At 40.6% G+C, this 25,497-nt stretch overlaps 1 protein-coding gene across 6 annotated transcripts in view; it reads right to left on the bottom strand.

Annotated features, from left to right (window-relative positions):
- The window catches only part of KDM2A (lysine demethylase 2A), a 138,820-nt gene that overhangs the window by 69,791 nt on the left and 43,532 nt on the right, over window positions 1–25,497 (bottom strand). For 3 of the 6 annotated variants that reach the window (NR_027473.2, NM_012308.3, XM_017017391.2), the window contains exons 3-5: window positions 8,075–8,213; window positions 6,894–6,972; window positions 6,400–6,446 (exon numbers count right to left, since the gene is read on the bottom strand). Coding sequence is in view for 5 of the 6 variants with exons in the window: in NM_012308.3 (NP_036440.1) it covers window positions 6,400–6,446; window positions 6,894–6,972; window positions 8,075–8,213 (265 nt within the window). In the remaining variant the exon portion in view is untranslated. Of the gene's footprint in view, window positions 1–1,710; window positions 2,325–6,399; window positions 6,447–6,893; window positions 6,973–8,074; window positions 8,214–8,875; window positions 8,900–25,497 lie in introns of those variants that run through there. The other 3 variants (XM_017017392.2, XM_047426623.1, XM_006718480.4) reach the window with 3 other exon arrangements.

Raw genomic sequence — 25,497 nt, 5'->3', positions numbered from 1 at the left:
CCAGGATGGTCTCGATCTCCTGACCTTGTGATCTGCCTGCCTCGGCCTCCCAAGGCAAGTGCTGGGATTACAAGCGTGAGTCACTGCGCCCAGCCTCTTTCTTTCAAGACACAGGGTCTTGGCTCTGTCACCCAGGCTGGACTACAGTGGTGTGATCAGAACAGCCTCAAACTCCTGGGCTCAAGCCTTCCAAGTGGCTAGGAGCACAGGCATGCAACACCATGCCCAGCCAACTTTTAAAATTACTATTATTATTTTTTTTATAGACATGAGGTCTTGGTATGTTGCCCAGGCTGGTCTCTGAATTCCTGGCTTCAAGCAGTCCTGCCTCAGCCTCCCAAAGTGCTGGGATTTTAGGTGTGAGGCACCATACCAGGCCCCTCTTGGAACCATTCTTTGATTTAAGGTCTGTTTTAGGGCCCGGTGCCATGGCTCACGCCTATAATCCCCAGCACCTTGGAAGGCCCAGGTGGGCAGATCGCTTGAGGCTGGGAGTTTGTGACCAGCCTGGCCAACATGGCAAAACCCCGTCTCTACTAAAAATACAAAATTTAGCCGGGCGTGGTGGCGGGCACCTGTAAATCCAGCTACTTGGGAGGCTGAGGCAGGAGAATCGCTTGAACCAGGAGACAGAGGTTGCAGTGAGTCGAGACTGCACCACTGCACACCAGCCTTGGCAACAGAGCAAGACGTCATCTCAAAATAAATAAATAAATAAATAAATAAATAAATAAATAAATAAAATCAATTAAATAAATTAATAAATGTCTGTTTTATCTGATATAAGTATAGCTACCCCTGCTCTTTTGGTTACTGTTTGCATGGAATAGCTTTTTCCATCCTTTCACTTTCAATCTATTTCTGTCTTTTGGATCTTTAGTGAGTCTCTTGTGGACAGCATATAGTTGTGTCATGCCATTTTTATCCATTCTGCCAATTTCTTGTCTTTTGATTGGGGAATTTAATCCACTTATATTTAAAGTACTTGTAAGGAGGAACATACTTCTGTCATTTTGGTATTTGACTTCTATATCCTTATAGCTTTGTTCCTCATTTTCCTAAATTACTGTTTTCTTTTGTACTTAGATACATTTATTTGGTGAAATGTGTAAATTCCTTTCTCATTTCCTTCTGTATATATACTATAGATCTTGTCTTTATGGTTATCATAGGGATTACATCTAATATCCTGAAGTTAAATTCTATTTTTAATTAATACCAGTTTGACTTCACTACTATTCAAAGAATCTGCTCCTTTACAGCTCTGTCTCTACCCCTTTTGGTTACTGATGTCACAAAACCACATCCTTATATACTGTGCCCCTATTAGTTATTAGCTTTTGCCCTTAAACTTAAATTAATAACTCATTCATTCATTCATGGGGTGGAAGAAATGGGTCTTTGCTATGTTGCCCAGGCTGGTCTTGAATTCCTGGGTTCAAGCAATCCTCCCACCTCAGCCTACTGAGTAGCTGGGATTACAGGCATATACCACTATACCCCGTTCTACTAATTATTTTAAATGTATTGATCTCTCAAATTATGTACAAAATAAAATGTGGGGCTACACTCAAAGTTTCAGTATTAGATTTTAGGCTAACAACTGTCTTTTAAAAAATATGCTCGTCTCTTAAACTATGGAGAAAACAAAAAGGAGTTAAAAGCCATTGTTAAGATAATACTAGCTCTTACAATTACCCATGTATTTACCTTTATCGAGATATTTCTTCATATGGCTTCAAGTTACAATCTAATGTCCTTTCATTTCACCTTGCAGACTCTCCTGAGCATTTCTTACAAGGCAGGTCCAGTGGTAACAAGTTTCCTTAGCTTTTGTTTTTCTGAGAATGTCTTAATCTCTCGCCCCTTTTGAAGGACAGTTTTGCCAGATATAGGATGCTTGGTTGACAGTTTTGTTTTGTTTTCCTTTTAGCACTTTGAATACACTGGCTCACTGCCTCCTGGCCTCCAAAGTTTCTGATGAGAAATTCGTTCATAATTTTACTGAGGATACCTTTATGTAATGAATCATTTAGTCATTTCTCTCTTGATGCTTTCAAGAGTTTGTCTTTGGCTTTTGAAAGTTTGATTATAATGTGTCTTGGTGAGGGTCTCTGAGTTCATCTTACTTGGAGTTCATTGAGCTGTTTGGATGTTTATACTCCTGTCTTTCATCAAATTTGGGAAATTTTCAGCCATTATTTGATCAAATATATATTCTCTCTGCTCCTTTCTATTTTCCTTCTGGTACTTCTATAATGTGTATGTTGGTCTGCTTAGTGGTGTCAAAATGTTCCTTTAGGCTCTTAGTCCATTTTGTGTTGCTGTTGACAGAAAACCTGAGTAGGTAATTTATGATGAACAGAAATTTATTCGCTCACAGTTCTGGAGGCTGGGAAGTCTAAAATCAAGGCGCCAGCATCTGGTGAGGGCCTTTTTGCTGCATCATCACATGGTGAAAAGCGAGACAGTAAGAGAATGAGAGAAAGCACGAAGGGGCCGAACTCATGCTTTTATAACAGCACCAATCCCACCCATGAGAGTGGAGTCCCTGTAGCCTAATTATCTCTTAAAGATCCCACTGCTTAATACTGTCACAATGGCAATTCAATTTCAACATAAATTTTGGAAGGGATAACTTTTTTTTTTTTTTTGCGACAGAGTTTCGCTCGTCACCAAGGCTAGAGTGCAAGGGAGTCAATGGTGTGACCTTGTCTCACTGCAACCTCCACCTCCCGGGTTCAATAAATTCTCCTACCTGAGCCCTCCCAAGTAGCTGGGATTACAGGGGCCCACCACCATGCCCAGTTAAGTTTTGTATTTTCAGTAGAGACAGGGTTTCATGTTGGGCAGGCTGGTCTCAAACTCCTGACCTCAAGTGATCCACCCGCCTTGGCCTCCCAAAGTGCTGGGATTACAGGTGTGAGGCACCACACCTGGCAGGGATAACATTTAACCTATAGCAAGCTATGTTCACTTTTCTTCAATTTTTGTCATTCTGTTCCTTAGACTTAATAATCTCCATTGTCCTATCTTTGCTGATTCTTTTGCTTGTTCAAATCTGCCTTTGAATCTAAGTTTTCATTTTAATTATTGTACTTTTCAGCTCCAGAATTTCCTTTTAAGGTTTTCTGTCTCTTTATTGATATTTCCATTTTGTTCATACATTACTTCCTTGACTTCCTCCACATATTCCTTAGTTTTCTGAGCATCTTTAAGACAGCTATTTAAAAATCTTTGTCTATTAGATCCACAATCAGGACTTTTTCAAAGACATTTTCTGTTGATTTTTTTCCTTTGAATGGGCCATACTTTCCTTTTTCTTCGTATGCCTTATGATTTTTTGTTGAAAATTGGACATTTGAATTTAATAATGTGGTAACTCTTGAAATCCAATTCTCTCCCTTCCCCAGGGTTTTTTGTGTTTTATTATTGTGTGTTTTGTTTTTGTTTTGTTTTTTATAGGCTATCTCTGTGTCAAGGATCAATCTGAGGTATACACTTAAGTTTTCTTACGTCTTCTCTGAGCCTGACCGTCCATGTGCATATGCAGTCGCTTCCTATTCTGAATGTGCTAGTCTTTAATGTCTGGCTCTTAAAGGGGAAAAGAGAAAACTAAAATGGGGGTGGGTGTGGGCAATAGCCACCCTCCACTCACCTTTTTTTGAGATGAGTCTCGCTCTGTCACCCAGGCTGGAGTGCAGTGGCACAAGCTTCGCTCACTGCAACCTCTGCCTCCCGGTTCAAGCAATTCTCCTGCCTCAGCCTCCTGAGTAGCTGGGATTACAGGCGCCCACCACCACGCCCAGCTAATTTTTGTATTTTTAGTAAAGACGGGGTTTCACCATGTTGGTCAGGCTGGTCTCGAACTCCTGACCTCGTGATATGCCCGCCTCGGCCTCCCAAAGTGCTGGGATTACAGGCGTCAACCACCGCACCCGGCCTAATTTTTGTATTTTTAGTAGAGATGGAGTTTCCCCATGTTGGCCAGGCTGATCTCAAACTCCTGACCTCAAGTGACCCTCCTGCCTCAGCCTCCCAAAGTGCTGGGATTACAGACATGAGCCACTGCACCCGGCCACAATAGCCCTTTAAATCCCCTGGAAGTCAGTTCAGCTGAGGGGAAGAGGCCTGCAACAATTAGGAGAAGATGCAACAACAACTGCCCCACCTGCCTTTTTTTTTTTTTTTTTTGAGACAGGGTCTCACTCTGTTGCCCAGGCTGGAGTGCAGTGGTGTGATCACATATCACTGCAGTCTCAGCCTCCAGGGCTCAAGGAATTGCCCCCCACGTAGCTGGGACTATTGGTGCATGCCACCACACCCAGCTAATTTTTGTATTTTTTGTAGAGACAGGGTCTTGCTATGTTGCCCAGGCTGATCTCAAACTCCTGGACTCAAGCAATCCACCTGCCTCAGCCTCCCAGAGTGCTAAGATTACAGGCATGACCCACTGTGCCTGGCCCCACCTGCCTCTTTGTCTGTACTTCTGTGATCAGAAGCAGCACTCAGTGACCACAGCATGGATCCCATTATTTGGAGGAAAGGTTCCTCTTTGCTCACCCTGGCTCCTATAAGCTGTGTGCAAGTTTTTCGGGGAAACATATGCACAGCTGCTTGTCATGGGCTTGGTTGGCAGGGAAGAATGGAGCAGCTGTTACTGTGCTAAGGCCTGAAACTGACTGAAATTAACTGTACTTTATTGTCCAAGCTGTCCCTGAAATTTGCAAGCCTTCAATAGACTCCTGAACTCCAAAATAGTTGTATCAGACAGATTCTGCCCGTGCAATTATTGTCTAGGTAAGGAGAAAAGTTCCTGGTGCTTGCTACTCTGCCATCTTCCTACAATCCTCTCTGAGAGTCTATATTTTTAACAATATCACAAGCAATTCTGATGCAGGTCATCTGTGGACCACAATCTGTAAGAATGTCTCATCAAGAGGGAAGCTTTAAACAGGGAATTACTGTCCTGGAGGCTCTTTAATAAAAGAGGTCAAATTACAGACTATTACATATTCAGGTAGGTTTTCTGAGGTCCCCTGAGTGTTCTGTCTTGTGACGAGTAGGGGAGCATTTTCATTATTCAACGGATTTACTGAGCACCTACTATATTCCAGGGACTGTGCTAGGTACTAAGGAATACATGGCAACAGGCAGATGGCCAGGGTTTAAAACAGAAACAGTAAGGGGATGAATAAAACAGAGATTTGGGAACTTTCCTCTACCTGGGATATCTGTGACTTTCACGTTTTAGATGAACAGAAGAGTCGGTAGTCTAACAAGGACCCACAAGTGGCCAGGAGATAGTACTGCAGTACTTAATTTTCAAAGCAAAGGAATGGCACTGGAGCTTTAGTACAGAGGACAAAAGATAATAGAAATTCTAGTGCTAGGAAGAAAATTTAAAAAGTCCCTTTGTTTTAAGTCCTATTGGACGCATTTCAAAAAGACTTTATTCCAGCCGGGTGCAGTGGCTCACACCTGTAATCCCAGCACTTTGGGAGGCCAAGGCAGGCGGATTGCTTGAGGTCAGGAGTTCAAGACCAGCCTAGCCAACATGGTGAAACCACAACTCTACTAAAAATACAAAAATTAGCCGGGCCTGGTGGCACATGCCTGCAATCCCAGCTACTCGGGAGGCTGAGGTGGGAGAACTGCTCGAATGCAGCAGGCGGAGGTTGCAGTGAGCCGAGATTGTGCCACTGCACTCCAGCCTGGGCGACAGAGGGAGACTGCGTCTCAAAAAAAAAAAAAAAAAAAAGACTTATTCAATTTTACTGACCATCCCTGAACTCCTAAGGATGCTGAGGTGTCTCAGGACCACAATGAACACCACTGTCTGCAGAAAACTAGGCTGAAACTTTACTAACATCAGGAATTTTCTTCTTTAATTAGATTAATTTGCTTTCTTTTTCCCAAATTTTGAATATAATAAAATAATTAAAAGACTCAATTTTAATGTATCTACTTCTCAGCCTATAAAGTTTCAAGTCTTAGGCAAGTTTCCAAATGCAGCACTGGCGAGCATTTCCTGGAAATTTCTCTACTCCTTTTAGGGGAAGGAAGGGAATCACGGATATTAATGAAACTTCTTTCTTGGCTAAGAGATGTAAGTTTTCGGTTTCTTGGAAAGGTTGCCCTAGAAGGCACACTCTTCAAGGAGAGAAGGAAGTATGAAGGTAGGAAAAAGAGGTTCCAACTTTCTAGGTTTAATGTGTATTAAATAAGGCAACTTCTGTAACTCTCTTTGATAAAATTCTCAGTTCCTAATGAAAATGTAGTTTCTAATCAAATATATACTTCAATGTTCCTAGGCCTTAAATCTCAGTCAGAGATTTAATTCAGTCCTAAGTCTTAAATCTTTGCCTTAAAGACAGAGGCCAAAAGCTCGACACTTACCCACACACATTTTGACATCATTCACAGTGAAGTCTGGATCCGGCATTCTATGAAACAAACACCAGTAAGTATATATGGAAAACACAATTGCTCTAGTAAATGTGAGTTTTTTTTCTTAAAGTACTGAGTACTCCCCAGACACAGTAATATTCACAATCAGGTTTGAAATTATTTTAAAAATATAGGTGATTATATATTTACACATATGCACAGGAAAAAAGAATACATAATAAAATGTTAATGATCTACCTAAGGGTGGTAGATTTCAGGAGATTTAAATTTGTTGTTTTTTTTTTTTTGGTTCATCTATATTTTCTCATTTACCTCTAATATGAAACACTTGTGTATCAAAAGAAAAGCATATACTTTTAAAACAAAGTGGGAAATTATTTTCAATTACTATTGTTTTGGGTTATCAATACCACCACTGTTTATTGCCCTGGGTGTAACGAGGCCATTTTGCAACTACATCCAGCCAGGCTGAAAACACTTACTTTATTCCGAGTCCATCAGAATTCTTGAAAATCAGAGGATCTCTCAAGCCACCCCGCTGAATATACTCTACATTAAAATCTGTCACCATAGGAAAATATTAGAAAGATAAGTGGTATAATTAAAAACGATAAAAGGACCATAAAAAGGATCCTAAGTAATACAGTATAAATGGTGTTTGTTATTCTGTGTATATAGTTATGCTGTTAGTCAATAAAATATATGCTTAGTAAGAAGCATCTCTTAGAAAATATGGAGAGCACATTGAGAAGCAACGCTTGAGGGGTTTTCCAAGTCTATATTCCAAGTCTAAATTTCCACAGGAAATTTAGAGCTTAAATAATATGGGGATAGGACTACTAATAGTGAGTCATCTTATAAATGCTAAACAGAAATTATCATCACCCTGTCTCTGAAGAGTTAAAAAAAAAAAAAAAAGGGCCAGGTGTGGTGGCTCATACCTGTAATCCCAGCACTTTGGGAGGCCAAGGTGGGCAGATCACCTCAGGTCAGGAGTTCGAGACCAGCCTGGCCAACATGGCGAAACCCCGTCTCTACTAAAAGTATAAAAAAAAAAAAAATTAGCCGGGTGTGGTGGCACGTGCCTGTAATCCCAGCTACTCAGGAGGCTGAGGTAGGAGAATTGCTTCAACCTAGGAGACGGAGGTTGCAGTGAGCCGAGATCGCACCACTGCACTCCACCCTGGGTGACACAGCAAGACTCCGTCTCCAAAAAAAAAAGTAAACAAAACATTAATTTTGACCACTACAATACATATATGACATCCTTGTCAGTTTGCCAAGGATCAAAGATGCACGGTGCGCATGGAATCCCACCCTCAGTTTTGGTGGGGTAGATATATACATAAAAGGATTTCTATTGTACTATTTTTAATTAAATTTAAACCAAGGGATAGAAGAAGGAGGAAGAGGCCGTTAGGCAAAAAAATCCAACAATACTCCTGCCCTAATAAAAAGATTACTTCTAATATAGGAGAGAATGACTCACAGGGTGGGAGGACTGGGGGATAAGTGCATGCAAATGGCATTGTATAACAAGAGAAAATAGATAGATAACATCAACAGGCAATATTTTAGCTGGATAAAGGCTAAACCCCCAATGCTCAGAGTCTATGGCTTCCCACATCAAAGGACTGTAAGCTGGAACCAAAACAATACTGACCTTTTCCTTCCATAAAAGTAACAAAATTGGCATTATATTTGTTGGTGTGCAGTTTCTCTTCCAAGTCAAAAGTTCTTTTTCCTTCAATTTCATCATCTGAAATGCCATCATCTTCATAGCGTCGTCGCATGGTACCACGCTAGGAAAGAAAGGAACATACTGATGAAATCATGCACTTTTTCATGCCTACCTACAAGTGGTCATAGATTTCCCTACATGTGCAAAGTGCTACTTTCAAACTCAGTTGCTATTTTCCTTGCCTTATGGATCTTTTCTTTCTCTCAAGATAGCTGATATTCTCAGAATCCACAGAATATAATGAAGTTTCAATGAGCCACTGGGTCCTCTATGAATTTTACCCTTGCTAATTCTTTGAGCCTAGAGATATAAATTCACAATAAAAACAGGACCAAAGAGGGTCTACTAAATATTTCATTTGTCTATCACTGTTTATCAGAGTGGGCACAAACTGTCTTCATAGAAATTTCAAGCCAGGATACAAAATATAATTTTTTCACAGGGAGAGCTGTATTTAAAATTAGCTTGGTAAAGCAATCTCAAAAACACATTTGAATGAATGGATCAAAAACCCTTGTCTCAGATAAAGGAAGAAAGTTAATCTAAATAACAGCATTCCAGGCCGGGTGCGGTGGCTCACGCCTGTAATCCCAGTACTTTGGGAAGCAGAGGCAGGCGGATCACCTGAGGTCGGGAGTTCGAGATTAGAGACCAGCCTGACCAACACGGAGAAACCATGTCTCTACTAAAAATACAAAATAAGCTGGGCGTAGTGGCACATGCCTGTAATCCCAGCTACTCAGGAGGCTGACGCAGGAGAATCGCTTGAACCTGGGAGGTGGAGGTTGCAGTGAGCCAAGATCGTGCCATTGCATTCCAGCCTGGGCAACAAGAGCAAAACTTCGTCTCAAAAAAACAAAACAAAACAAAACAAAAAAAACCCAGCATTCCAAATAGCACACCATCAATATTTAGTTTTAAAGATAACATGTCTTTCCAAAGAAGATATACAAATGTACAATAAGCACATGAAAAATGCTCAATTCTCATTAGTCATTAGAAAAATGCAAACCAAAAACCACAATGAAATACCACTTTATACCCACCAGAACGGCTATCATCAAAGAGATAAACAATAACAAGTGCTGATGTGAATGCAGACCAACTGGAAGCCTCATACATTGCTGGTGGGAATGTAAAATGGTGCAGACACTGGTAAACAGTTTGAAAGTTTCTCAAAAAGTTAAACAAAGTTATCGTACGACTTAACAATTCTGCTCCTAGGTATATAACCCAAAGAACTGAAAACATACGTTCTTCTTTTCAAAACAAAAGCTTATACACAAATGTTTACACTAGTGTTATTCACAACAGCCAAAAGATAGAAACCACCCAAATGTCAATCAATTGATGAATGCATTAACAAAATGTGGTATACCTATACAATGAGATATCATTTAACCACAAAAAGGAATGAAATAACGCTATGTGCCATGACATAGATAAACTCTGAAAACATTATGCCAAATAAAAAAAAAGCCAGTCATAAAAGACCACATATTGTATGACTTCATTTAAATAAAATGTCTAGAATAGGCAAATCCATAGAGACAGAAACTAGATTCATAGTTGCCAGGGGCTAGAGAAAATGAAGAATGGGAGAAGTGACTGTTAATAGTATGGGTTTTTTCAAGAGCAATGAAAATGTTCTGGAATTAGATAGTGGTATTTGTATGACCCTGTGAATATACTAAAAACCACTGGATTGTACACTTTATTTTATTTTTTATTTTCTGAGATGGGGTTGTGCTCTGTCGCGCAGGCTGGAATGCAGTGGCTCCACTAAGGCTCACTGCAACCTCAACCTCCTAGGCTCAGGTGATCCTCCCACCTACAGCCTCCCATAGCTGACACCACCAGTGCACACCACCACACCCAGCTGATTTTTTTATTTTTAGTAGAGACAGGGGTTTCCCATGTTGGCCAGGCTGGTCTCGAACTCCTGTGCTCAAGCGATCTGCACGCCTCAGCCTTCCAAACTGCTGGGATTACAGGCTTCAGTCACTATACCCAGCTGACTTGTACACTTTAAATGAGGAGACTGTATGGTATGAGAATTCTATCTAATAAGCAGTCACTTTCAAAATGTTGCTTATACTGCAAGTTTACCTTTTAATACAGTCATGCACAGTATAATGACATTTCAGTCAATATATATGAACTGCACATATATGACAGTGTTCCCATGAGATTACAGTAGAACTAAAAAATGCTTATCTCTTAGTGACACTGTTGCCATCAGGACATCATAGCACAACACATTACTCTCGTTTGTGGCAATGCTTGTGTAAATCTAACTGTGCTGCCAGTCATGTAAAAGTGTAGCACATACTGTTAGGAATAGTACATAATAAATGACTGTGTACCGGTTTATGTATTTATTATTCTGTGCTTGATCATTATTTTAGCATGCATTCCTTCTACTTTTTTTTTTCTTAATATTAACTGTAAAACAGCCTCAGGGAGGTCTCTTAGGAGGTATCCAAAAGAAGGCATTGTTATCACAGGAGATGACAGCTCATCTGTGTTACTGTGCCTGAAGATCTTCCAGTGGGAAAAGATGTGGAGGCGGAAGACAGTGATAATGATGCCGCTCTGTGATACTGATGACCCCGACCCTCTGCAGGCTGATGTGTATGTTTATGTCTTGGTTTTTAACAAAAAAGTTTAAAAAGTTAAAAAAAAAACTTTAGTAGACAAAAGCTTATAGAATAAGGATATAAAGAAAATGCTTTTGTACGTGGTATAATGTATCTGTGTTTTAAGCTAAGTATTATTACAAAAGTGGAAAATTAGAAAATGTTCAAAAGTATATAAAGTTAAAAAGTTACAGACTAAGCTTAGTTTTATTACTAGTAGTAGTAATATTTTTTTGAGACGGAGTCTTGCTCTGTTGCCCAGGCTGGAGTGCAATGGAGTGATCTCGGCTCTCTGCAACCTCCACCTCCCGGGTTCAAGTGATTCTCTCGCCTCAGCCTCCCGAGTAGCTGGGATTCTCTCGCCTCAGCCTCCCGAGTAATATGCCCGGCTAATTTTTGTATTTTTGTAGAGACAGGGTTTCGCCATGTTGGCCAGGCTGGTCTTGAACCCCTGACCTCAGGTGATCCGCCCACCTCAGCCTCCCAAAGTGCTGGGATTACAGGCGTGAGCCACCGTGCCCAGCCTAGTTTATTATTGAAAAAAAAAATTTTATAAATTAAAAAATAAAACACTGTTCATAAAATCTACAAAAGTGTCTTAGGCCCTCGCATTTACTCACTATTCACTCACTGACTCACTTAGAGCAACTTTCAGTCCTGCAAAACCCATCACAAGAAGTGCCCTATACAGGTATACCATTTTTTTTGCCTTTTATACCATATTTTCACTGTACCTTTTCTATGTTTAGATACACAAATATTTACTGGCATGCTATAACTGCCTATAGTATTCAGTACTGTAACATGCTGTACAGATTTGTAGCCTAGAAGCTATAGGATATACCATATAACCTAGGTGCGTAGTAGGCTATACCACCCAGGTTTGTGTAAGTACACTCTAGATTGTTAGTACAATGATGAAATTGCCTATACACTTCTCAGAACATATCCCCATTGTTAAGCAATGAATGATGGTATTTTACTTTAGCCAGTGTTAAAATTTGCTGAAATTTATTGAATACATACCCAACAGGAAACTGGATGTGCCAGTGGTAGTGGTAAGGATAAAGTCACTCTACCTTTATCTGTGCTAAGAACATCAAATCTAGAATTTAAAACTAAGTATTGATGATCTAGAATTGATTACATAGCACCTGAATCTACATAAACACGTAAGAAAATGAGACACTGGAGATAGGTCTCTTAGGGAGTAGAAGTCTGTGAAAGGGCAGAAATAAGTCATAAAAAATGAAAGAAATAAACTTGACTATTACATACCAGAGGAAAGCAAGATTCAACTTACAAGTTTTAGGCAAAAACACAAAAGGGAAATCTAGTATCTTTTCCATATTTAGTAAAAAGCCTTAGAACACTCTCTTACCTAGTAACTTGGCTGCCACAAATCACAGTTCAAAAGCCAAAAGAAGGTTTAATTTTGATAAGACTTCACTGACACCAATAATGCCATCATCATTCAAAGTATTTTTAGGTATCTTTTGGTGCAGGGCAGGGTGTTCACTGACAATTCCTAACATTGTTTTCCCCAAAAACATCATCCAGTTCTCTCCCTCACCTTATTTTGTATATGTGTCTCTGAAGAACTAGAAAAGATGAGTTCCAAGCACATTATAAAGCAAGAGCAATGCTACTAGAATAAGTATAGTTTCCCAGAATCACTTTTAGAAAGCACTCACTTGCATTTTTAGTTCTAATATGCTTGTTTTAAAAATCCCTCATGTTTTCAAACCTCAACCTTTTTATTAGGTCTACCATAACGGATTCTTCTTCACTCAGGAGAAAGTAATCATCTTGATTATCCCAACATTTCTAATATGATAGGCAAAAAGTTCCCCTGATCTTTTTCATGCTTTTCTTCTCCTTAAATTCTTCCATTTACACCTTCAATAGGGAGAATGTAAGGATACAAGGAAGGCTTCTGTCTCCAAGCCATTCCCATTTATTAAAGACAACAGAAAAATGAATTTGAATTCCTGATCTCTTTTTGATTATTGCAACTGGAAAGTTGGCAACAGTGTGAAAATTACGTGTGTGTGTGCTGGTTTTTTTCGGAGACAGAGTCTCTGTCATCTAGGCTGGGGTGCAGTGGCACGATCACAGCTCACTGTAGCCTTGACCCTTGACCTCCTGGGCTCAAGTGATCCTCCAACCTTGGCCTCCCAAAGTGCTGGGATTACAGGTGTGAGCCACCACACCTGGCCTGTGTGAATTTTAACACTGTCAAGGATGTCTGTTTTTCCTGTATCCTATCTTAATGTAAACCCTAGTCAAAGTAAGCTTCTATAACATATCTCATAAATGCTTTAAAAACATTCAATCCTCACAGTAACCCTGGATATCAGTAGGCAATAACACAATCTCTGCTATAGGTGAAACTCAAAAGGTAAGGCCACTTTAACAGTAAGGAAATCAGCTACTGATTTCCTCTAGCCCATCAACATTACCAAATAATACAAATTGGCTTACTAGCATGCTATGCTTTTATTCTAGATGCTTTTCATATACGTGATTTTAGCAGCCTAAAGGGAGTTACTGGCTTTCTGTAGGTACCAGTCCTCACTAGGCCCAGTGTCACAGTAAGTAACAAGTATAAACTGAACAATGACATCATTTCAACCATATTTCCTCTCAAAAGCAATTTGCATTTCCCAGGGTTAACAGGGAATTGTATTCCTGAATAACCAACAACAAATTACTTTATTCTACTTAGATGACCAAATAATATAGCAAAATCATGTTATTTAGAATCCAAATAATATGAAGAATTTTAAATGTCTTAAAAAATATTCACCATTCCCAGTTTAGTCGTAATTAACTATATAAAGTGGTTAAAATGGCCACATAAATGGAATACTTAGATTAACTCAAGTACTGGTAGTTAAGTCAAACTGCAGGAGTATTAGTTGTATCACTCTCCTAGGTGGTGAGCAGAAGAAATATGAGGAAGCAACACTAGATGCAAGTAGGTATTCATCTATTAATCATTCTATAGAAATTTCTGACATTCTTTTCTAAAGCTGCCAGAAAATAGAATAGTGGAAAGGGTATTTTCTCAAACTGTCTATGTCAGACATTTAAAAAGTAAAAAAGCAGGTAAGAGTTGGGAAATCAGAACTTTTGAGCAGAGAATATTCACTGAGTCAGTAACAATATGTCTGAGTTATCCAGAAAACTAGAATAAGCTGAGAGAGACTGTTTTTAGGAAACGGTTTCTTTCTTTTTTTTGAGACAGAGTCTTACTCTGTCGCCCAGGCTGGAGTGCAGTGGCGCAATCTCAGCTTACTGCAACCTCTGTCTCCCAGGTTCAAGCAATTCTCCTGCCTCAGCCTCCCAAGTAGCTGGGATTACTGGCACATGCCACCACATCCAGCTAATTTTTGTATTTTTAGAAGAGACAAGGTTTCGACATGCTGACCAGGCTGGTCTCGAACTCCTGACTTCAGGTGATTTGCCTGCCGTGGCCTCCCAAAGTGGGCATGGTGGCTCATGCCTGTAATACCAGCAATTAGGGAGGCTGGGGTAGGAGGATCACTTTCTGAAGCCAGGAGCTCAAGACCAGCCTGGGCAACATACCAAGACCCTATCTTATAAAAAAAAAAAATTGTTTAAATTAGTTGAGCATGGTAATGTGCGCCTGTACTACTCAGGAGACTGGGACAGCAGGATTGTTTGAGCTCAGGAGCTTGAGGCTGCCATGAGTTATGATGGGGCTACTGCACTCCAGTCTGGGCAGCAGAGCCAGACCTTGCCTCAAAATAAATAAATAAAAAGAAAAATAATAAAAATAAAAACCAGGCTAAGTGCAGTGGCTCACACCTGTAATCTTAGCACTCTGGGAGGCCAGGGCGGGCAGATGACTTTGGCCCAGGAATTCAAGACCAGCCTGGTTCATGGCAAAACCTGTCTCTTCTAAAAATACAAAAACTGGCTGGGCATGGTGGCTCACACCTGTAATCCCAGCACAATGGGAGGCCAAAACAGGCTGATCATTGAGGTCAGGAGCTGGAGACCAGCCTGGCCAATATTGCAAAACCCCTTCTCTACTAAAAATACAAAAATTAGGCCAAGAACGGTGGCTCACGCATGTAATCCCCACACTTTGGGAGGCCAAGGCGGGCGGATCACCTGAGGTAGGGAGTTCAAGACCAGCCTGATCAACACGGAGAAACCCCGTCTCTACTAAAAATACGAAATTAGCCACGCATGGTGGCGCATGCCTGGAATCCCAGCTACTTGGGAGGCTGAGGCAGGAGAATTGCTTGAACCCGCGAGGCAGAGGTTGCAGTGTGCTGAGATCGCGCCACTGCACTCTAGCCTGGGCAACAAGAAACTCTGTTTCAAAAGAAAAACAAACAAACAAACAAACAAAAAACTGAGGTGGGAGGATCTCCTAAGCCTGGAGAGGTCCAAGCTGCAGTGAACTGTTACAGCACCACTGCACTCCAGCCTGGGTGACAGGGTGAGAGACCTTGTCTCAAAAAAAAATAAAAATAAAAACCAGTGCATCACATTATGTCTATAAATATTCCATAATTTTTTTCTTTTCTTTTTTGAGATGTGGTCTTGCTCTGCCTCAAAAATAAAAAAAAGAGAAAAACATACTTAATGGTGAAAGACTGAAAGCTCTCCCCCTAAGATTAGGAACAAGACAAAGATATGTTTATTCCCCACTTCTATTCAAAACTGTATTGAAGTTTCTAGCTAGGGCAGTTAGGCAAGAAATTTCTAGCTATGGCAATTAGGCAAGAAAAAGAAAAGTTTGGAAAGGAACAAGTAAAACTACATCTATTCACAAATTACATGATCTTGTACACAGAAAACTATAAGGAATCCACACACACACACACACACACACACACACACACAACTATAAGAGCTAATAAAATCAGTTCTATTTCTATATACTAGCAACAAAAAATCCCAAGATGAAGTTGAAAAAAAATCCATTTATAATAGCATAAAAAAAACTAAGGAATAAATTTAACAAGATAAGTACAAGACTTATATACCAGAAAGCTACAAAGCATTGTTGAAGGAAATTAAATGGTAGCTAAATAGAAAAATGTCCTGTGTTCATGAACTGAAAGGCCTTATTAAGATGGCAATACTCTCCCAAATTTATCTTCCAATTCAAAGCAATTCTTATCAAAATCACAGCTTTTTTTCTTTTTGGCAGAAATTAGCAAGATGATCCTAAAATTCATATGGAAATACCAGCAAACCAGAATAGTCAAAACAATCCTTAAAGAGAACAAAAGAAAGCTAGGAGGATCACTTGAATCCAGGAGTTCAAGACCAGCCACTGCCTCTACAAAAAAAAAATATATTAGCCAGGAGTGCTGGTGTGTGCTTGTAGTCCCAACTCCACAGGAGGCTGAGGTAGAAGGATGGCTTGAGTCCCGGAGGTTGAGGCTGCAGTAAGCCATGTTCACGCCACTGAACTCAGCCTGAATAACAGAGTGAGATCCTGCCTCCAAAGAAAAAAGAAGAGTGAAGAACTCACTATAAAACTATAGTAATTTCAAAACTTACTATAAACATATAGTAATCAAGACTGGGTGGTACTGGTGTTTAAGGAGAAACATATAGATTGATGGAACAGAAAGGAGAATGCAGGCATAAACTCTTACACTTACAGTGAATTGATTTTCAGTAAGCATGCCAAGACCAGGAGCAGTGGCACATGCCTGTAATCCCAGCACTCTGGGAGGCCAAGGCACGAGGATCACTTGAGGCCAGGAGTTTGAGACCTAGTTTGTATCAAATAGTTTTTCTTGCCTAAGATAATCACACTGTGAGAATTAAGACGAATGATGGATTTATTTTACACATGAAGAAACAGAAAGGTAAAGCTGACCCAAGCTAACCTTTTTGGGTAATAGCAGAAAAACAACAAAAAAGCAAATGTGTCTAAAGGGAAAATATATCTGGTGTCACTTTTTCTATTACTTTGCTGTGCAACTATAGGCAGTTTAATAAATCATTTAACCTCTCAGATCTCAACTTTCCCTTGGAAGTAAACAACTTAAGGCCCCATTATGTTCTAAAATAAAGTCTTCTACACTCTGAATCCAACTCACATCATTTCAATTTCATTCCTATTTACATTATATATTGACAATTTGCTACATACCAGTCCCTCTGGTCTGTTTATGTTGCATTCAAAGACTATCTAATTTCAGACTCGGCCTCGTCTGTCCTGACTAGGAACACTGAGGGAGACCTGATGGTGGGGTTGGCAAGTAGCTCTCTTAGGGCTTTCCACATCTTCCTCTCAACTTCTATGTATCACAAATCTCAATCAAACAGATGTTAAAGGCTATTTTTTCAGGACAGCTTAAGCAATTCCCATTCCAAAAGGCACAAAGGAGTCTAAATGTTTAAGTACCTACCATGTGCCAGGTACTGTAACAAGCACTATGCATGTATTAATATATTTAAATCCAACATCCCTATGAGATATTAATACCCTCTTTACCAAAGCAAGGAAAATGAAAGAAGTAACTTGCCCAGGTTACAAAGCTAGTAATTGATGTGGCTAGGATCTAGAACCCAGGTACTTTGGTTCTAGAGCTGACAGTCCTAACCACTACTCTATGCTACAAAAATCCACTTGAGACTTCGACCAGACCAGTCTCTTAAGGTAACCGGAAGAAATTGTCAAGGACGACCTCAGATACAGCTTAAATGGGTCTGGCAGAGAGAGAGAAGGTGTAGTGGTGGGACCAGTCAGCAACAAAGAATGTCTTTTAGTCAGAAAACCATGCTTGGGCCAGGTGCGGTGGCTCACACCTGTAATCCCAGCACTTTCAGAGGCTGAGGCGGGCGGATCACTGGGTGAGGAGATCGAGACCATCCTGGCTAACATGGTGAAACCCCGTTTCTACTAAAAATACAAAAATATTAGCCCGGTGTGGTAGCAGGTGCCTGCAGTCCCAGCTACTCGGGAGGCTCAGGCAGGAGAATGGTGCGAACCCAGGAGGCGGAGCTTGCAGTGAGCTGAGATCGCGCCACTGCACTCCAGCCTGGGCGACAGAGCGAGACTCCATCTCAAAAAAAAAAAAAAAAAAAAAAGAAAGAAAGAAAAAAAAAAAACCCCATGCTTGGTAGGATAAAGGATTAGCAAAGGATCTTCCCTGGGGTAAGAGATTTCTGATATTTGTTAAGGGACACTACATTTCTAGCTATATTATTGTTTATCTAATATTCCACCATTCCTGGTTTCTAATTCTAGCTTTTCGTTGACAAACTACTGGTTGTTCAACTATTCTGGCTGAAATGAAAACACTGCTATTTCTAATCAGCATTTTCTATCACAAGGTGTTTGAACTCGGTACATTTATTGTGTGTATGCCATGAAAATGTGTTCTCACTTCCTATATTTGTAGTTATAATTTATTATAGACCTCTAAAAAGATGAAACTGTGGGCCAGGCATGGTGACTCACGCCAGTAATCACAGCGCTCTGGGAGGCCGAGGTGGGCAAATCACGAGGTCAGGAGTTCGAGACCAGCCTGGCCAGCATGGTGAAACCCCATCTCTACTAAAAATACAAAAATTAGCCTGCCATGGTGGCACGTGCCTGTAATCCCAGCTACTCAGGAGGCTGAGGCAGGAGACTCACTTAAATCCAGGAGGCAGAGGTTGCAGTGAGCCGAGATCTCGCCACTGTACTCTAGCCTGAGTGACAGAGTGAGACTCCGTCTCAAAAAAAAAAAAAAAAGAGAGAGAGAGAGAGAGAGAGAGAGAAGGAGAGAGAGAGAGAGAAGAAAAAAGAAAAAAGAAAGAAAAAAGAAACCAAGTGATGGGCTGAGCGCAGTGGCTCATGCCTATAATCTCAGCACTTTGGGAGGCTGAGGCAGGAGGATCACCTAAGGTCAGGAGTTCAAGAGCAGCCTGGCCAACATGGTGAAAACCCTTCTCTACCAAAAAACAATTAGCCAGGTATGGTGGCTCAGGCCCGTAATCCCAGCTACTCAGGAGGCTGAGGCACGAGAATCACTTGAACCTGGGAGGCAGAGGTTGCAGTGAGCCGAGATGGTGCCACTGCATTTCAGCCTGGGCAACAGGAGCGAAACTTCATCTCAAAAAAAAAAAAAAAAGAAAAAGAAAGAAAGAAAGAAACCAATCTTGTCACTATTAGATTTTCATGTCTCACACTGTGATACGATTTAAAAAAAAAAAATTTAGGGCATTGTTTTGTAAAGTTATATAAAGCTACATGGATTAGGCCGGGTGCAGTGGCTCACGCCTGTAATCCCAGCATTTTGGGAGGCCAAGGCAGGTGGATTACGAGGTCAGGAGTTCAAGGCCAGCCTGGCCAAGATGTTGAAACCCCATCTCTACTAAAAATACAAAAATTGGCCAGGCGCGGTGGCAGGCGCCTGTGATCCCAGCTACTCAGGAGGCTGAGGCAAGAGAATCGCTTGAACCCCGGCAGCAGAGGTTGCAGTGAGCTGAGATCACACCACTACACTCCAGCCTGTGCGACAGAGTGAGACTCCATCTCAAAAAAAAAAAAAAAAAAAAAACTACATGGATTAAATCTGAATCTTTGCAACATATACCAAATCCCCACTTCATAGCCTTAATATGTACTTGAATAAATAAATACATTTTAAAGGAAAAAGCAACCTCAGGCTTTCACTCTGCTCTCCCACAACATATGAATGCATACATATCCAAAAAATCAACTGAACTTTAAAACGCTGTTGCTTTCATTTTCTTCTTTGCAACCTTTTGAAAACCCAGCACTGCTGCCAGGTCACACACTGGGCCATATGTGGATAGACGGACATTGCTGTCTATCCCCCCGACCGTGTGTGTGTGTGTGTGTGTGTGTGTGTGTGTGTGTGTGTGTGTGTGTGTGTGTGTGTGTGTGTGTGTGTGTGTGTGTGTGTATAATTCATACAAGACTGTGTGTGTGTGTGTGTGTGTATTATAATTCATACAAGACCATGCTGAATATAGAAAAAATAGCCAGACACTCTGTATACAAAAATTAAAATGTAGTCCTAGCACTCAAGAAGATTGCTGGCCACTAGGGGGCAACAAATATGTAAATAAATTATAGAATTACAATTTAATGTGCTATGTATTAAGACAGGTAGATACAAATGTTATTGAAGCCCAGTAGGAAGAACAACTAACACAGAGGGTTTGGGGGAAGCTCCACCTAAGAAGCCACATAAGAAAAATGCTGATTCATTCAGCATAACTTCACTGGACATCTACCAAGTTCCAAAGACCATAGATACAGACTGTGTTGCTCCTCTATAGCAGTGATCTCTTCAAATTTTAGGGGGTTTCTCTTCACTTACTAGATTTATCAGTATCTCCTTATTAATAAGATATATATAAAACTTTCTTCTAAAATAAAAGGTTATACAAAGTTTGATAATTTCATATCTCATGATGGATTTTAATTAAAATGCCCTAAGGAAGTATAAAAAGAGTCGGAATCACTGCCTTACAATGACTAAGCCTTAGGCCCAAGTTTTTATCTTTTGATCTATATAAAACTTTTTGTCCCTAAATGATAAATGGCCTGAGCACAGAGAATAAGGAAAAACACATGTTTACTTTTAACATAACTGCCATATATATTACAAAGAAGATGCAGTGATAAATTAACATGGCTGAAAAGCTTGCATTTCTTTTACTGAAAGGTCAGCCTTCAAATACATTCTGGAAAAGATCAAATTCTACAGAGATCAACAGTACATAGAACAGTTTCCATACATGAAAAATGTTAGATCACAATAATTCCAACAACCAGATAATGTAACCCATAAATAGAAGGTGTCTACAGAATTTAGCAGGAAGCTTATGCGTACCTAAGTCTCTTGATTAAAAAAAAATATTTAGTCAGTAGGACCTTTAAGGAAAAAAAAAAAGATAGCTGTGAAGGCAGAATGTTCAAGAGAAGATGAATATACAAAAGTAAACTATTCCCTAAAAAGTTCCCCCAAGAACTAGTGTCAAATAGCTACTTATATACAGAATGATCCTAAAAGAGTCGGGATACACTTACCCTGACCACAAACAAGCCCTCCACAAAACTAATTGGTCAAGAAATGAGTTAAAAGTGCTAGATCTCTCCCATCACTGTTGCCTGCCTTCCTGCATACCATCAGGTATAATCAACTGTTCAGTGTGCTTGCTGCACATTTAACTATGATATCATCACAACTCTGCAACAACAACAACAAAATGTGGCTATCAATTCAAGATGAGGATAAGGCATCTCAACATCATCTTGAAGAGAAGCAATCTGAGTTTAGATGTTATATCTAAGGCACATTCTTGGTTTTTCCAAAGGTTTTACTAGAATATGCATATATTTGTCTCCTTGGGTGCTAACAAAAGCAGTAACTCGCAATATTAAACTTTTTAATTTTTTTTTGAGGCAGAGTCTCGCTCTGTCGCCTAGGCTGGAGTGCAATGGTATGATCTCAATTCACTGCAACCTCCGTCTCCCAGGTTCAAGTGATTCTCCTGCCTCAGCCTCCTGAATAGCTGGGATTACAGGCGTGCACCACCACGCCTGGCTAATTTGTTGTATTTTTAGTAGAGACGAGGTCTCGCCACGTTGGCCAGGCTGGTCTCAAACTCCTGACCTCAAGTGATCCGCCCGCCTTGGCCTTCCAAATTGCTGGAGTTACAGACATGACCCACCACGCTCAGCCCAGCACAGGAGTTTTGACCTGCTCAGTTTCCAACCTGAACCAGTGTACTCCCTTCTTGGTCCCCAGTTGCTGGGAGGTCACCATATTGATGCCAAACTTAGTACAGATACCTGATCTGTATACTGCATTACAGCCCAGAACTCCTTGCTTCAAGAGATCCTCCTGCCTCAGCCTCTCAAGTTACTGGGACTACAGGTCTTATGCCACCATGCCGGGCAAGAAGTAATCTTTAAAGCACCCCCACTCCACCCTCATACACAAATACTACTATTGGAAACAATAATATAACTCAGAAATATTCAGTTTCTCAGCCAGGCACCGTGGCTCACTCCTGTAATCCTAACACTTTAGGAGGCCAAGGCGGGCGGATCACTTGAGGTCAGGAGTTCGAGACCAGCCTGGCCAACCTGACAAAATCCTGTCTCTACTAAAAAATGTGAAAATTAGCCGGGCATGATGGCATGTGCCTATAGTCCCAGCTACTTGGGAGGCTGAGGCACGAGAATCACTTGAACCCAGGAGGGAGAGATTACAGTGAGCCGAGATCACACCACTGCACTCCAGCCTAGGCGATAGAGTGAGACTGTCTCAAAAAAAAAAAAAAAAAAAGAGAAATATTGTTTCTCCTGAAAGTCAACCAATTTTTTAACTTGATTTTCATTAGCCAGTGAAACACCTACTGAAATACAAATACTCCCTGAATACTTCTGTTTACTGCCTGATTTCTGTATCAACAAACACAGAAAAGGGAAACAAAGATAATGCCTAGTTTCTTCACCACCTTTTATAATTGATGCAACTGTTAAGTCATCAGTATAATACATGGTACTGGTCATGCCAATTTAGTTCCTAGAATATAAGGATTAATGAAAGTATTATACAAATAAGAAGTTATGGAAAAAGAAAAAACCCCTAAAAGTTGACCGTAAATCTAAAGGGGAAGTAAGAGTGACCTTTCTTTTTGCCAGTCAAGAAAGGTTACTATAAACCTGAAAGAACAGCTTGTCTTAAAAAACACTAACTCTAGATCTTTGCTTGGTTAATGATAAAAACCATGAAATTTGTCACACATGCTGTTTCTCCTAAGTCTTTAAGTGAATTAAGGGAGATAGCAAGCAGTCACTTGAAACCAGAAGATAGTCTATAAATGCACCTATTTTCCAGCTTTGCTACATTCCTCTCATCAGGAAGCTTTCCTACATGATCCTTCTCTCTGGAGCTGTGATTAATGTTTTGATTCATAGACAAAGGTCAGTCTCTTAATCAACAAATGACCTCTATTTCAAACTGTCAAACTTAAGATTTATGAAATTTCACATCTAGGAGTAGAAGCTTTAGAAGGAACTGGCATAAGATCAAGAGTTGGTATTCTAAGCTGGGTGCGGTGGCTCACACCTGTAATCCCAGCACTTTGGGAGGCTGAGGTGGGCAGATCATCTGAGGTCAGGAGTTCAAGACCAGCCTGACCAGCATGGAGAAACCTCGTCTCTACTAAAAATACAAAATTAGCCAGGTGTGGCGGCGCATGCCTGTAATCCCAGCTACTCAGGAAGGCTGAGGCAGGACAACTGCTTGAACCCAGAAGGTGGAGGATGCGGTGAGCCAAGATCGCGCCACTGCACTCCAGCCTGGGTAACAAGAGTGAAAGTCGGTCTCAAAAAAAAAAAAAAGTTGGTATTCTAAATTACTCCCTTCAAACACATATACTCCTACCCGTCCCACTACCACCATTACATTACAGTCCTGGCAAGACCTCTTTCCTTCTATGTGTTCAGTCACCCCATCTGCACCAACTAAAGTTAAAGCAGAGAAAACTATGTCTTCATCGCTGAAATTACCTAAGAAAGTTACTCTAAGAGTGGTAAACTGACTAACATCATTAAAAAGTACAATAGCAGGCCAGGCGCGGTGCTCACACATGTAATCCCGGCACTTTGGGAGGCCGAGGTGGGTAGATCACTTGAGATCAGGAGTTCAAGACCAGCCTGGCCCACATAGTGAAACCCCACCTCCACTAAAAATACAAAAAATAACCAGTCCCAGCTACTCAAGAGGCTGAGGCAGAAGAATCGCTTGACCCTGGGAGGTGGAGGTTGCCGTGAGCCGAGATTGTGCCACTACACTCCAGCCTGGGCGACAGAGCAAGATGTCGTTTCCAAAAAAAAAAAGTCCAACAGCAGTCAAGTGTGATGGCTCATGCCTGTAATCCTAGTGCTTTAGGAGGCCATGGTAGAGGATCACTTGAAACTAGGAGTTCAAGACCAAGCCTGGGTAAAAGAGCAATGTCCCATCGCTACAAAAAAACAACAACAACAAAAAAAGGCCAATAGCAAGATCAACACTTAATGAACAGTTATACACAAGCCACCAGAGAAACTAAAAATGTAAGTTAATAATCACATCTCTGTTAAACTTCTCCAGATTTAAGTATCCCATCTAAAACATTAAGAAATCATCTTCAATCAAGCTAAAATTCTTATATCTGAAATCAAAAATTCACTTTCAGGTATGAACCTATATTTACTATGTTTAGCAAAACTACATAATCAGAAGAACAAATGGATTAGAGTCAGAAGTAGGTCTGGGTCTAGGCACTGCCACTTTGAGCTTCAAATTCCCTAAGCTTCCATTTTCTCATGTGAAAATGTCAAGAATGTCACCTAATGCACAGGATGGCTGTGATGTTTAAATGAAAACATATATACAAATACTTTGCAAATGTGGCCTTATATATAAAAAGAGGCTGTATAGAGTAGTGGCAGGGTCCAGACCAGGTTTCTAGAGTTCAAATCCTGGTTCAGCCTCTCACTGTGTCTGACCTACTTAACTAGTAATAACAGAAGCCATTCCACAGGGTTGTATGAGGATTAAATGAAAGATGTAAAGTATCTAGCACATACTCAAAAAATATCAGCAACTGTGATTTTTTTTTTTTTTTTTAAGATGGAGTGTCGCTCTGTCACCAGGCTGGAGTACAGTGGTGCTATCTCGGCTCACTGCAACCTCCGACTCTCAGGTTCAAGCGATTCTCCTGCTGCAACCTCCCGAGTAGCTGGGATTACAGGTACGCACCACCACGCCCAGCTAATTTTTGTATTTTTAGTAGACACGGGGTTTCACCATGTTGGCCAGGATGATCTCGATCTCTTGACCTCATTCATGATCTGCCTGCCTTGGCCTCCCAAAGTGCTGGAATTACAGGCGTGAGCCACGGCATCTGGCCCAGCAATTGTGATTTTGAACATGATTCTACATTGGACTGGAAATCAACTGTATGTCCCAAAAAGAATGGCCTAAGTGGCTAGAGATAAGTCATACTTGCCTCTTCTCCAATGGCATTAAATGTCCTTCTTTATCATTCCAAGTCATAGAATTTTCCAAGTCCATACCTTTTGGAATTAACTCTTTTATGATTCCATCTCTAAATCTCTTCATATCAAATGTCTAATCCTAGGGATGAAATTTTATGAAATTCAACAACTGTATCCTGCCACCGATTTAATATGAAGTGGCCATCTCTGCAAGATGTTATTTGAGAAGGCCCTGCCCTAAGTGGTAGAGTTGGTTATGCAGCTGCTGATCCTTCAAGAGAGTTTGAAGGAAGGTCAAACATAAATACGAAAGTGTAGCGCTAGAAGACAGAGTAGCAATGAAGTTATGCAAGAGCAAAATTCTGGATATCAGTCTGACTAGGGCAGAAGGCTGAAAACAAACTAAAGGAGAAGAGAAGTAACTAACAAAAGTAGGATACAGTTCAATTCCTAACTTTAAGAAAAAGAAATCATGGCCACGCTTGGTGGCTCAAGCCTATAATCCCAACGCTTTGGGAGGCTGGGGCAAGAGGATCACTTGAGGCCAGGAGTTTGACCTGCTTGGACACAATGCCAGACCCCATCTCTAAAAAATTTATTAAATTAGCTGGGCAAGGTGGCACATGCCTACAGTCCCAGCTACTTGGGAAGCTGAGGTGGAAAGACTGTTTGAGCCCAGGAATTTTAGG

Source organism: Homo sapiens, chromosome 11, assembly GCF_000001405.40.
Source record: "Homo sapiens chromosome 11, GRCh38.p14 Primary Assembly".
In the NCBI taxonomy this organism is placed as follows: domain Eukaryota; kingdom Metazoa; phylum Chordata; class Mammalia; order Primates; family Hominidae; genus Homo; species Homo sapiens.
This window is presented reverse-complemented; position numbering and strand designations above follow the sequence as displayed.